Source organism: Homo sapiens, chromosome 10 (genome assembly GCF_000001405.40).
Source record: "Homo sapiens chromosome 10, GRCh38.p14 Primary Assembly".
Classification (NCBI taxonomy): domain Eukaryota; kingdom Metazoa; phylum Chordata; class Mammalia; order Primates; family Hominidae; genus Homo; species Homo sapiens.
The window spans coordinates 74,340,748-74,355,859 of NC_000010.11; the positions used below are offsets into that span (position 1 = coordinate 74,340,748).

At 39.0% G+C, this 15,112-nt stretch overlaps 1 protein-coding gene and 1 pseudogene across 13 annotated transcripts in view; one reads left to right on the plus strand and one right to left on the minus strand.

The window, feature by feature from the left end:
• The window catches only part of ADK (adenosine kinase), a 558,070-nt gene that overhangs the window by 189,527 nt on the left and 353,431 nt on the right, over positions 1 to 15,112 (plus strand). The gene's annotated exons all lie outside the window — the stretch shown is intronic.
• TIMM9P1 (TIMM9 pseudogene 1) lies at positions 3,523 to 4,182 on the minus strand (annotated as a pseudogene).

A 15,112-nucleotide genomic window follows, 5' to 3' on the forward strand; every position in this document is an offset into this window, starting at 1 on the left:
TATACTTTTTTTTACTGTTTTAATTGTCTATATAGCATGCTGCATATTACCAATTTTAAATACTTAATTTTGAAAGATTAAAATGGCTGGCAAATTTATTGCCCATTTGCAAAGTACATTTATATCAGGCATAGTACAATATGTAGAATGTTATTGGAACATTGGAACATTGTGTCTGAAATACTTTTTTAAAAACCTCATAAAATATGAAAATACTTCTTAATGATTTCAATATTAACTCTATTCATTAGACATCTATCATTATCCTTTATGTCAGAAACTTAGAGTGAAATCTTATTAGCTTGATTGAAGAACACTTGTTCTCATTTCATTGTGCTATAGTTAACATTCAAAGTTAAAGTTATTTTTCTTCTCCTTGATAGTATACTATAATAAGTATATTCAAAGTGATGCTCTAGATTTGTTTCCTTCACATTTAGACTTGCATTTTTACAATGTTTATACTAAGGTTTCTTACACTTGCCATAGTATATCTGTGCGGTGGCTTACTCCTGTTAATCCCAGCAATTAGGGAGGCCCAGGCAGGTGGATTATGAGGTCAGGAGTTTGAGACCAGCCTGGCCAACATGGTGAAACCCTGTCTCTACTAAAAATACAAAAAAAAAAAATTAGCTGGGTGTGTTGGCGGGTGCCTGTAATCCTAGCTACTCGGGAGGCTGAGGCAGGAGAATCACTTGAACCTGGGAAGGTGGAGGTTGCAGTGAGCCGAGATCCTGCCACTGCACTGCAGCCTGGACAACAAGAGCGAGACTCCGTCTCAAAAAAAAAAAAAAAAAAGGATTTTTGCAATCATTAACTTACTTCTTGCTGTCTGTTTTTATTGTCTTTGGCTGTCCTTCTTAACTTCTTCAAAGATTTCTAGTATATTTACACTCCTTAATCCTAAATCCAGTGTATGTTGGCTCTCATGGTAGTTTTCCATTTCATGTACTTGCTTGTATAATATAAATCCCTGTTCTTGGTGTTTTGTGTATTTATTTATTTGGCTGCCATTGTATTGAAAATTGTCTTGACAATTCATTTATGAACATCATTAGTACAGCAATATGTAATTCAAAACCAGCATGCTCAAATTTGTACTATTCTGGTTAGTTATTGCTATGTGTGTATTTTCAAATTTTTAAAGACTTAGAGAATAGTAAAACATATACTTAGCACAAATGATATCACTTCTTGGTACCTTTCTGTGAGTCCTTCTTCCCATAAGGAAATTAAATTGTTCTTTGTTTTCATGCTAAGTAGCATGAAAAAAAAGCTTTATTGAGATAAATCAAATTTAGAGCATTTTTATCACCTCAAAAAGAGCCCATATACATTAGCTCTCACCCACTCAATTATCCCTCCTTGGCTATTTTGGGTCCATTGCAATTCCAAGTGAATTTTAGAGTCAGTTTGTCAATTTACACAATGAGTATAGCTTGGATTCTGATAGGGATTGTGTTGAATCTCTACATCCATAATGGGTAATATTGCCAATCTTAATAAAATTTTCCATGAATGTGGGATGTTTTTCCATTTATTTGGATCATCTTTAATTTGTTGCAACAATGTTTTGTAGTTTTCAGAGTATAAATTTTACACTGTAAAGAAAACTTATTCCCAAATATTATTTTCTTTTTGATGCTATTGTAAGTGGAATTCTTTTCTTAATTTTATGTTCAGATTATTCATTGCAGATGGCTTAGAGATACAATTGTGTGTGGTTTTTGTTGTTTTGTTTTTGAGACAGGCTCATGCTCTGTTGCCCAGGCTGAAGTGCAGTGGCACAAACATGGCTCACTGCAGCCACAATCTCCTAGGCCCACCTGATTCTCCTCCCTCAGCCTCCCAAGTAGCTGAGACCACTAGACATGCACCACCATGCCTGGCTAATTTTTAATTTTTTTTGTAGAGACAGAGTCTTGCCATGTTGCCCAGGCTGGTCTCGAACTCTTGGGCTCAAGCAATCCTCTGGCCTTAGCCTCCCAAAGTTTTGGGATTATAGGCATGAGCCGCTGTGCCTAGCTCAGTTTGTGTGTGTGTGTGTGTGTGTGTGTGTGTGTGTGTGTTTTAATATTGATCTTGTATCCTACAGCCTTTCTGAACTTACTTAGCTCTAATATTTTTTAGTGGGTTCTTTATGATTTTCTATAAACAAAACCATGTCATCTGTGACTATAGTTGTGTTTCCTTCTTTCTTTCTAATTTGGAAGCCTTTAACTATTTTCCCCCTTCCTTAATTGCTGTGACTAGTAGTTGTAATGTAACAGTGAACAGAAGTGGCAAGAAGAGATGTCCCTAGTCTTGTTTCTCATATAGGGGGAAAATATCTAATCATTCACCATTAAGTTTGATGTTTCTCTGCAGTTTTCTTAGATGCCCTTTATCAGATTGAGGAAGTTACTTTCTATTTCTGTTTTTTTTTAGCGTTTTTATCTTGAAACAGTACAGTTGACCCTTGCACAACATGGCGATTGTGGGTGCTGACCCACTGCATAGTCTAAAATCCATGTATAACTTTTGATTCTCCCAAAACTTGTCAATTAATAGCCTACTGTTAACCAGAAGCCTTACCAGTAACATAAAGTCAATTACCACATATTTTATATATGTATCATATAAAGAATATATTATTAAGAAAATCATGAGAGAAAATGTATGTACTATTTATTAAGTGGAAATGTTTCGTGAGAAAAGTCATCATTGTCTTCATGTTGGGTTGGCTGAGGAGGCAGAGGAGGAACTGGTTTTGCTGTCTTAAGGGTGGCAGAGGTGGAAGAAAATACTGGTGTAAGTGGATTTGTGAAGTTCAAACCAGTGTTGTTCTGGAGTCAATTGTAGTGGATTTTGCCAAATGCTTTTTGTTTGTTTGTTTTTTGAGACGGAGTTTCGCTCTTGTTGCCCAGGTTAGCGTGCAATGGCATGATCTTGGCTCACTGCAACTTCTGCCTCCCAGGTTCAAGCAATTCTCCTGCCTCAGCCTCCTGAGTAGCTGGGATTTCAGGTGCCCAGCACCACGCCTAACTTATTTTTGTATTTTTAGTAGAGATGGGGTTTCACCATGTTGGCCAGGCTGGTCTCTAATTCCTGACCTCTTGTGATCCACCCGCCTTGGCCTCCCAAAATGCGAGATTACAGGCGTGAGCAACCATGCCTGGCTGCCAGATGCTTTTTCTATGTGTGTTGAGATGATCATGTAATTTTGTTTTCTATTCTATTGATATGATGCATTGAATTAATTGATTTTTGGATCTTAAACCAACCTTGCATTCCTGAGACAAACTCCACTTGGTTATGTTATATATAATTTTTAAATGTTGCTGGATTTGTTTTGCTAGTATTTTGTTGAGGATTTTTGCATCATTCTCATATGAGTATCAGTCTGTAGTTTTATTTTCTTGTGACTTTGTCTGATTTTAGAGTATCATAGTAATACTGGCCTCATAACATGAATTGGGAGATGTCTTCCCTCTTCTAATTTTTAGAAGAGTTTGTGGAGAATTGGTATTAATTTTTTTAAAAGAAGCAGCAATTGCTTATTTTTCTAATCAGGTGTCTATGCTGCTGAATCTTAAGGCCTCAACAAATGTTGCACCTTATTATTTCATTGAACAATAAGACCTTCTATTCTGATTATTCCCGGTAAATAGGAATAATCACTGGTTTCTCCAGTGGTTTCCACTTGCCAAAAACTCATGACAGATGACTTAACAAGGTGGCACCTGCTTTCAGGGGATTGTATCAGATGCATACTCATTTCCAGTGCAGCAGCTGTTGGCAATCTAGGACTTCTCTATCATGGTTGGCCAAGTAGTCCTGCTTTGGCTGCCAGAGCTTCATTCTGCTGAATATTACATTCCTGAAGTCTCATGGATATTCTTTTTGTCATTTAAAAATATTTCCATAAAGTGTTCTGAACAGGCTGGTCTCTTCAGGTTTTACATCTGTTGTGCAGTCTTAACACAGTCCAAAAAGCAGATTTCTGCAAGTTTATTGTCAGTCCCAAGAAATTCCTTCAACTGTTTAATCTGATCAGATTCTGGTATTTGTGCACCCATATTCTTTTGGTACATTTATTAGTCATCTTCTCTGATGCATGAGTTTCCTTTCTGTTCTTGTAAAGTAGTGTTCCAACCTTTGTTTGAATGTCTTCAGTGAGACGTGATTTCTTACCTAAGCACAGGCTCTCACATCTGACGTCAGTACAAGGCTGGAGGCCTACACTGCCAGTCGAGTCTGAGGATGGAGGATCAGGATCAGGGCAAGCATTGCAGCCGCTTTATCTAATTCTTCTTTAAACGTTCATTAGAATTCAATAGTGAAGCCATTCAGGGCTAGGCTTTTCTTTGTGGGTAGTTTCTTGATTACTAATTTAATCTCTTGTTATATAGGTCTGTTCAAGTTACCTATTTTTTCTTGAAATTTTTTTAGTCATTTGTGCCTTTCTAAGTATTTGTCCATTTCATCTAATAAATAATCTAATTTGTTTAATGGCTATTCTTTCTGACATTAATATAGCCACTTTGTCTTTCTTGTGGGTGTTGTTTGCATCACGTATCTTTTTTTTTTTTCCCAGACAGGGTCTTGCTTTGTTGCCCAGGCTGGAGTGCACTGGCAAGCAGAGGTTGCCACTCACTGGAACCTCTGATTCCCAGGTTTAAGTGATCCTCCCACCTCAGTCTCCTGAGTAGCTGGGATTACAGGTGCATACCATCATGCTTGGCTAATTTTTAAATTTTTTGCAGAGACGAGGTCTCACTGTATTGTCCAGGCTGGTCTTGAACTCCTGGCTCAAAGTGAAACCCCTGCCTTGGCATCTCAAAGTGCTGGGTTTACAGATGTGAGCCACCACATCCAGCCTGCATGATATATTTTTCCACCCGTACTTTCAATCTGTTAGTAACTTTCTATCTACAGTGTGTCTCCTGTTGACCCACATAACTGTCTTTTATGTATAGTTATTAGAACTATTGATAAGAAAATGTGAAAGTATAGTCCCATTATCTTATTTGAGTGGAATCAGTAGACTATTTCATAAAATGTATTCTAGTTTATAGTTTAGAATAGTTTGTTTTTCATGGCTTTTGAGAAAAACATTTGAATGAGCTTACATTTTGTTGCATTTAAAATTTCTGGGTTTTTGTTGTTGTTGTTGTTGTTGTTTTGAGATGCAGTCTCTCTCTGTTGCCCAGGCTGAAGTGCAGTGGTGTGATCTTGGCTCACTGCAACCTCTACCTCCCAGGTTCAAATGATTCTTGTGCCTCAGCCCCCTGAGTAACTGGGACTGCAGGTACATGCCACGACCTGGCTAATTTTGTATTTTTAGTAGAGATGGGGTTTCGCCCTGTTGGGCAAGCTGGTCTCAAACTCCTGACCTCAGGTGATCTACCTGACTCAGCCTCCCAAAGTGCTGGAAGTACAAGTATGAGCCACTGCGCCTGGCCAAAATTTCTGTTTTTTAATGAATCCAAAGTTCATGTTTTTTTTTCTTCCCAATGCCATGGTACATATCATCACCAAAAAAAGTAGTGATTTTGCTTCAGTGAACACTGAATTTTAATATTATTGATAGAATGGCTATATCGATCAGGGTTTTACACTTATAGTACAGTATACTTGCAATGTAGGTAGGCCTCATCCTTTGTAATTAATTAATTAGCTTGTAATTATGTAAGCTAATCTAAATTTTCATATTTTCAGTTTTAACATTTGGGCTTTTGAGTTACATTTCTTATATTTTGATTTTTTTCTATAAATTTTAAAACCAGAAAGACAACACTAGAATCAATTAAATGCAAGATTGAAAGGGTTTCATAATGTAAAAGAGCAATCTTGTTTTTGAAATGTTCAGTTTACAGTAAGGATCGAGTAGCTCTGCAGCTACCGATTTGGGAAATACCTGAGGTTTTTTTTCCCCTTGCACTTACAGGCTGTTTTAGCCCTGAAGGTGGCTAGTAAGGACACAGACTTTAGAGTGCCACGACAGTTCCATAACAGGAATGAATTGAAGAAGAGAAGCAGTGGAGTCAGGAGCCTCACAAATTAAAGACAACTGGTGAAGAGAAAAACCATTTATTTTCGATACTTAAGATGGCTGAGCCTGTAATTCCAGCAGTGCTTTGGGAGGCTGAGGCAGGTGGATCACGAGGTCAGGAGATTGAGACCATCCTGGCTAACACGGTGAAACCCTGTCTCTACTAAAAATACAAAAAATTAGCCGGGCATGGTGGGCACCTGTAGTCCCAGCTACTCAGGAGGCTGAGGCAGGAGAATGGTGTGAACCCGGGAGGTGGAGCTTGCAATGAGCAGAGATCGCACCACTGCACTCCAGCCTGGGCGACAGAGCGACACTCTGTCTCAAAAAAAAAAAAAAAAAAAAAAAAAAAAAAAAAAAAGATGGCCGAATAGGAAGAGCTCCAGTCTGCAGCTCCCAGCAAGACCAACACAGAAGGTGGGTGATTTCTGCATTTCCAACTAAGGTACCCAGTTCATCTCATTGGGACTAATTAGGCAGTGGTTGCAGCCCACAGAGGGTGAGCAGAAGCAGGGTGGGGTATCACCTCACCTGGGAGGTGCAAGGAGCTGGGGGACCTCCTTCCCCCAGCCAAGGGAAGCCATGAGGGACTGTGCTATCTGGCCCAGATACCATGATTTTCCTATGGTTTTTGCAATCCGCAGATCAGGAGATTCCGTCGTGTGCCTACACCACCAGGGCCTTGGGTTTCAAACACAAAACTGGGCGGCTGTTTAGGCAGACACTTAGCTAGTTGCAGGAGTTTTTTTTCGTACCCCAGTGGCACCCGGAACCCCAGCGAGACAGAACTGTTAACTCCCCTGGAAAGGGGGCTGAAGCCAGGGAGCCACGTGGTCTTGCTTAGAGGGTCCCACTCCCACGGAGCCCAGTAAGCTAAGAACCACTGGCTTAACATTCTCACTGCCAGCACAACAGTCTGAAATTGACCTTGGACCATTGGGCTTGGTAGGGGGAGGGGCATCTGCAATTACTGAGGCTTGAGTAGGTGGTTTTTCCCTGACAGTACTAAGGTGGCGGGGAGGTTTGAACCAGGTGGAATTCACCACAGTGCAGCAAAGCAGCTGTGGCCAGACTCCCTGTCTAGATTCCTCCTCACTGGACAGGGTATTTGTGAAAGAAAGGTAGCAGACCTAGTCAGGGGCTTATGGATAAAACTCCCATCTCCCTGGGACAGAGCACCTGAGGGAAGGGGCGGCTGTGGGCGCAGCTTCAGAGGACATAAACTTTCCTGCCTGGTGGCTCTGAAGAGAACAGCTGATACTGACAAGGAGGATTCTCCCAGAACAGTGCTTGAGCTCTGCTTAGGGACAGACTGCCTCCTCAAGTGAGTTGAGGAGACTCCGTGCCTTCTCACTGGGAGAGAACTGCCAACAGGGGCCAACAGACACCTCAAACAGGAGAGCTCTGGCTGGCATCAGGCTGGTGCCCCTCTGGGACGAAGCTTCTAGAGGAAGGACCAGGCAACAATCTTTGCTGTTCTGCAGCCTCCATTGGTGATACTCAGGCAAACAGGGTCTGGAGTGGACTTAAAGCAAACTGCAGCAGACCTGCAGAAGAGGTGCCTGACTGTTAGGAGAAAAACTAGCAAACAGAAAGCAACAAACTCAACATCAACAAAAAGGACCCCCACACAAAAACCCCATCCAAAGGTCATCAGCCTCAAAGATCAAAGGTAGATAAATCCATGATGATGAGGAAAAACCAGCGCAAAAACGGTGAAAATTCCAAAAACCAGAATGCCTCTTTGCCTCCAAATAATTGCAGCTCCTCTCCAGCAAGGGCACAAAACTGGACGGAGCAACCCCAAGACACCTAATAGTCAGATTCTCCTCTGAGCTGAAGGACCATGTTCTAACCCAGTGCAAGGAAGCTAAGAACCTTGATAAAAGGTTATAGGAACTGCTAACTAGAATAACCAGTTTAGAGAGGAACATAAATGACCTGATGGGGCTGAAAAACACAGCACGAGCACTTCATGAAGCATACACAAGTATCAATAGCCAAATCGATCAAGCAGAAGAAAGGCTATCACAGATTGAATATCAACTTATTGAAATAAAGTGTGAAGACAAGATTAGAGAAAAAAAAAATAAAATGGAATGAACAAAACCTCCAAGACATATGAGACTATGTGAAAAGACCAAACCTATGATTGATTGGTGTACCTGAAAGTGACAGGGAGAATGGAACCAAGTTGGAAAACACACTTCAGGATATTATCCAGGAGAACTTCCCCAACCTAGCAAGACAGGCCAACACTCAAATTTGGGAAATATGGAGAACACTGCAAAGATACTCCTTGAGAAGAGCAACCCCAAGACACCTAATCATCAGATTCTCCAAGGTTGAAATGAAGGAAAAAATGTTAAGGGCAGCCATAGAGAAAGGTCAGGTTACCTACAAAAGGAAGCCCATCAGACCAATAGCAGATCTCTCTGCAGAAACCCTACAAGCCAGAAGAGAGTGGGGGCCATTATTCAACATTCTTAAAGAAAAGAATTTTCAACCCAGAATTTCATATCCAGCCAAACTAAGCTTCATAAGCTAAGGAGAAATAAAATCCTTTTCAGAGAAGGAAATGCTGAGGGATTTTGTCACCACCAGGCCTGCCTTACAAGAGCTCCTGAAGGAAGCACTAAATGTGGAAAGGAAAAAGTGGTACTAGCCACTGCACAAACACACCAAAATATAAAGACCAATGACACTATGAAGAAACTGCTTCAATTAGTGTGTAAAATAACCTGCTAACATCATGATGACAGGATCAAATTCATGTATAATAATATTAACCTTAGCTGTACATGGCCTAAATGCCCCAATTAAAAGACACGGACTGGCAAATTGGATGAAGAGTCAAGATCCATCGGTGTGCTGTATTCAGGAGACCCATCTCACTTGCAAAGACACACATAGGCTCAAAATAAAGGGATGGAGGAATGTTTACCAAGCAAATGGAAAGCAAAAAAAAAAGCAGGGGTTGCACTTCTAGTCTCTGATAAAACAGGCTTTAAACTAACAAAGATCAAAAAAGACAAAGAAGGGCATTACATAATGGTAAAGGGATCAATGCAACAAGAAGAGCTATCGTAAATATATATGCACCCACTACAGGAGCACCCAGATTCATAAAACAAGTTCTCAGAGACCTACAAAGATACTTAGACTTCCACACAATAATAGTGGGAGACTTTAACACCCCACTGTCAATATGAGATCAATGAGACAGAAAATTAACAAGGTTATTCAGGACTTGAACTAAGCTCTGGACCAAGCGGACCTAATAGACATGGGGTTGCTACAGAACTGTCTACCCCAAATCAACAGAATATACATTCTTCTCAGCAGCACATGGCACTTATTCTCAAATCAACCACATAATTCAAAGTAAAACACTCCTCAGCAAATGCAAAAGAATGGAAATCATAACAAACAGTCTCTCAGACCACAGTGCAATCAAATTAGAACTGAGGATTAAGAAACTCACTCAAAACCACCCAACTACATGGAAATTCAACAACCTGCTCCTGAATGAATATTGGGTAAATAATGAAATTAAGGCAGAAATAAAGAAGTTATTTGAAACCAATGAGAACAAAGAGAAAACGTACCAAAATCTAGGACACACCAAAAGCAGTGTTAAGAGGGATATTTATAGCACTAAGTGCCCACTTCAGACAGCTGGAAAGATCTGAAATCAACACCCCAACATCACAATTAAAAGAACTAGAGAAGCAACAGCAAACAAATTCAAAAGCTAGCAGAAGACAAGAAATAACTAAGATCACAGCAGAACTGAAGGAGGTACAGACATGAAAAACCCTTGAAAAAAATCAGTGAATCCAGGAGGTGGTTTTTTGAAAAGATTAACCAAATAGATAGACTACTAGCTAGACTATTAAAGAAGAAAAGAGAGAAGAATCAAATGGACACAATAAAAAATTATAAAGTGGATATCACCACTATTCTCAGAGAAATACAAACTACCAACAGAGAATACTATAAACACCTCTATGCAAATAAACCAGAAAATCTAGAAGAAATGGATACATTCCTGGATACATTCCTGGACACATACACCCTCCCAAGACTAATCCAGGGAGAAGTTGAATCCCTGAATAGACCAATAACAAGTTCTGAAATTGAGGCAGTAATTAATAGTCTACCAACCAAAAAAAGCCCAGGACCATACAGATTCACATCCGAATTCTACCAGAGGTTCAAAGAGGAGCTGGTACCATTCCTTCTGAAACTATTCCAAACAATTGAAAAAGAGGGAGTCCTCCCTAACTCATTTTATGAAGCCAGCATCATCCTGATTCCAAAACTTGACAGAGACACAACAAAAAAAGAAAATTTCAGGCCAATATCCCTGATGAACATCCATGTGAAAATCCTCAATAAAATGCTGGCAAACGAATCCAGCGACATGTCAAAAAGCTTATCCACCACAATCAAGTCGGCTTGACATGTAAGGCTGGTTCAACATACGCAAATCAATAAACGTAATCTATCACATAAACAGAACCAATGACAAAAACCATATGATTATCTCAATAGATGCAGAGAAGTCCTTTGATAAAATTAAACATCCTTCATGCTAAAAACTCTCAAAAAACTAGGTATTGATGGAACATATCTCAAAATATAAGGGCTATTTATGACAAATCCATAGCCAATATCATACTGAACAGGCAAAAGCTGGAAGCATTCCCTTTGAAAACCAGCACAGACAAGGATGCCCTCTCTCACCACTCCTATTCAACATAGTTTTGGAAGTTCTGACTAGAGCAATCTGGCAAGAGAAAGAAATAAAGCGTATTTAAATAGGAATAGAGGAAGTCAGATTGTCTCTGTTTGCAGATGACATGATTGTATATTTAGAAAACCCCATCGTCTCAGCCCAAAACCTCCTTAAGCTGATAAGCAGCTTCAGCAGTCTCAGGATACAAAATCAATATGCAGAAATCACAAGCATTTCTATACATCAATAATAGACAAGCAGAGAGCCAAATCATGAGTGAACTCCCATTCACAATTGCTACAAGAGAATAAAATACCTAGGAATACAACTTATAAGGGATGTGAAGGACCTCTTCAAGGAGAACCAGAAACCACTGCCCAAGAAAATAAGAGAGGATGCAAACAAATGGAAAAAAAATTCAGTGTTCATGGATAGGAAGAATCAATATTGTGAAAATGGCCATATTGCCCAAAATAATGTATAGATCCAATGCTATTCCCATCAAGCTTCCATTGACTTTCTTCGCAGAGTTAAAAAAAAAAAAGAAACAAACCTTAAATTTCATATGGAACCAAAAAGGAGCCTGTGTAGCTAAGACAATCCTAAGCAAAAATAACAAAGCTGGAGGCATCATGCTACCTGACTTCAAACTGTACTACAAGGCAACAATAACCAAACAGCATGGTACTGGTACCAAAACAGATATATAGACCAATGAAACAGAACAGAGGCCTCAGAAATAATACCACACATCTACAACCATCTGATCTTTGACAAATCTGACAAAAACAAGCAATGGGGAAAGGATTCCCTGTTTAATAAATGGTGTTGGGAAAACTGGCTAGCCATATGCAGAAAATTGAACCTGGATCACTGCCTTACACATTATACAAAAAGTAACCAAGATGGATTAAGGACTTAAATGTAAAACCGAAAACCATAAAAACCCTAGAAGAAAACCTAGGCAATACCATTCAGGACATAGGCATGGGCAAAGACTTCATGACTAAAACACCCAATGCAATTGCAGCAAAAGCCAAAATTGACAAATGGGATCTAATTAAACTAAAGAGCTTCTACACAGCGAAAGAAACTATCATCAGAGTGAACAGGCAGCATACAGAATGGGAGAAAATTTTTGCAATCTATCCATCTGACAAAGGTCTAATATCCAGAATCTACAGGAACTTAAACAAATTTGCAAGAAAATAACAACCCTATCAAAAATTGGGCAAAGGATATGAATGGACACTTCTCAAAAGAAGACGTGCAACCAACAAACATGAAAAATTGCTCATCATCATTGGTCATTAGAGAAATGCAAATCAAAACCACAATGAGATACCATCTCATGCCAGTTAGAATGGCGATCATTAAAAAGTCAGGAAACAACAGTTGCTGTTGAGGTTGTGGAGCAATAGGAATGCTTTTACACTGTTGGTGGGAGTGTAAATTAGTTCAACCGCTGTAGAAGACAGTGTAGCAATTCCTCAAGGATCTAGAACCAGACATACCATTTGACCGAGCAATCCCATTACTGGGTATGTACCCAAGGGATTATAAATCATTCTCCTATAAAGACACATGCACACATGTGTTTATTGTAGCGCTATTTACAATAGCAAAGGCTTAGAACCAACCTGATGCCCGTCAATGATAGATAGAGAAAATGTTGCACAGAGACACCATGGAATACTATGCAGCCATAAAAAAGGATGAGTTCATGTCCTTTGCAGGGACATGATGAAGCTGGAAACCATCATTTTTAGCAAAGTAACACAGAAACAGAAAACCAAACACCACATGTTCTCATTAATAAGTGGGAGTTGAACAATGAGAACACATGGACACAGGGAATGGAGCATAACATACCTGGGCCAGCTGGTGGGTAGGGGTCAAGGGGAGGGAGAGGATTAGGACAAATACCTATTGCATGCAGAGCTTAAAACTTAGATGATGGGTTGATAGGTGCACCAAACCACCATGGCACATGTATACCAACGTAACAAACCTGCACGTTCTGCACATATATCCCAGAACTTAAAGTTAAAAAAAAAAAAAAAAAGCCAGGCGCAGTGGCTCACGCCTGTAATCCCAGCACTTTGGGAGGCTGAGGCAGGTGGATCACAAGGTCAGGAGATCGAGACCATCCTGGCTAAAATGGTGAAACCCTGTTTCTACTAAAAATACAAAAAATTAGCCAGGCGTGGTGGCGGGCATCTGTAGTCCCAGCTACTTGGGAGGCTGAGGCAGGAGAATGGCATGAACACAGGAGGTGGAGCTTGCAGTGAGCTGAGATTGCGCCACTGCACTCCAGCTCTGGCGACAGAGCGAGACTCTGTTTCAAAGAAAAAAAAACTTCAGTTTACTTGATTTTGCTTATAGAGTTCTTTGAGAATTTAAATCATCCTTTCTGAATTACAGAAAGTCATAGATTAGAAGTGTAGCTTTAAAATGCTCTAGATCACTCTGAATTAAGAAAAAGGGTTTCCTTTGTCCAGAATAAGCATCAATTTAAAACAGCATTTAAAAACAAGTATTCAACAAATTGGTATACGAATTATAACACAAGCAACTAAATCACTGACTTTGATTAGTCTCTCTACTGATTACTACTGTTGAACAGAAGTTGTGTGTAAGAATAGGAGAAGGTGAACTCATTGTCTTGAGCATGTGGAATTAGTTCTTGTCTGAGGCCAGATAGCAATTTTTATCTTATTTTCAGTATAGCAGATCCTATGCTGCCCTGATAAGAATCACCTGCACAGCCTCATTGACTCTCACGGAAGTATTCCAGTAACTCTTTGAATTTTTTCCTAGAAAAATTGGCATCTGTTACCCCTACACAATTCCTTCATAAACAGTAGAAATTTCCCCCATGAAACCTTTCCTTTAACCTTAACATTCTTCGATAATTATTTATGAAGTCCTTAAATAATTATTACAACAAGTATTGGTTTTGAATACGTACCAGCTTTGGAATACTGCTTAAGGAAACCATGATAAACTCCAACTCCTTTATGATTATTTAGAGGAATATATCTATTTGTTATAGTCTTAAGGAAAACCTTGTCAACATATTAGATGATAGAAACAGTCATAACCAGCGACCACCAGGTTTGGTGGGAACTCATGATGTGAAGGGTCTACTCCATGTTCTGCCAACCAAGTAACTAAGTCATTTTGGGCAAATGATTCAGCTGACTTGATCTGTTACATGATTCCTAAGGTCTGTTATAGCTCCAATATTTCATGGCATCACTCCACTTTAATGTATTATCTATCTTAAAAAAGTTAAACAGAAAGATCAATTAGCACTTATATTAAATTTGAGTTGCTGAATATTTTATTTTTTCTCACTTCCACTCACTGCTTCCACTATTTGGGTAATGATTGTTGGAGCTGTATGCATTTATAATGCATTAAGTACAGTGTGGTATATCAGTAAAACTTCATTACAAATATTCATTCCATACATTTGTCTGTACTGGGGTCAGTTTTTTTCCCCTTCTTCTTCTTTTTAAAGACAGGGTCTTGCTCTGTCTCCTCCTGTCTTGGTCTCCCAATGTGCTAGAACTACGGGCATGAGACACTGCACCTGCTCTTTTCTAGTTTTATTTGTCTATCTGAAGAGTTTATTATTTGGCTAAGCTCACATGGCAAGGTAGGTATCATGAAGTGTTAAAACCCAGCTTTTCTGCTAATGTTCTTGTGAGATAAACCAACTATTAGTAAAGATACTTGCTTCCTAATCAAGATTACTTGGAATTGTTAAGAGAGTATGTATGTATGTATAAGTTAACTTTTTAAAAACTTCTCTGCTGCCTGGAGGAATAATGAAATGACCCAAAGGGATAGAAGCAAAATATTTCAGATAGTACATAACGTATATACTTAGCCTTGTGCAATCAAGAATTAATGATATAATGTGTATGGAGTAATATTTAACTTTATTTCGTTATAAGCCCTTTTGGGATAGTGGTTGTTCCACATAACTTTTATCTTCTTTAATGCTTAGTATCTGCTAGAAATGTAGTCTGTGGGATCATAAGAGTTGGGGAAGATTTACAGATAGCATTTTCAGAGACTGAACAGAAAAGCATATTGTCATTTGGAAAAATTTTAAAAGTGTCTAACTTTTATTCAGGACCATTTGCTTTTATTTTCCTGTTGTTATTTATTTCTATTATCTTGTTTACAGTTGAAATTTGGACAATTGGTCTGTATCTTTTCTAATTTTCATTATATATAAAGACTTAGGTTTCCTCTTTCCTTATGTGTTTGTTGGTAAACATTAGGTGCTATTTTTAAGTTTTCAATTCTCAGGCATAGTGCTA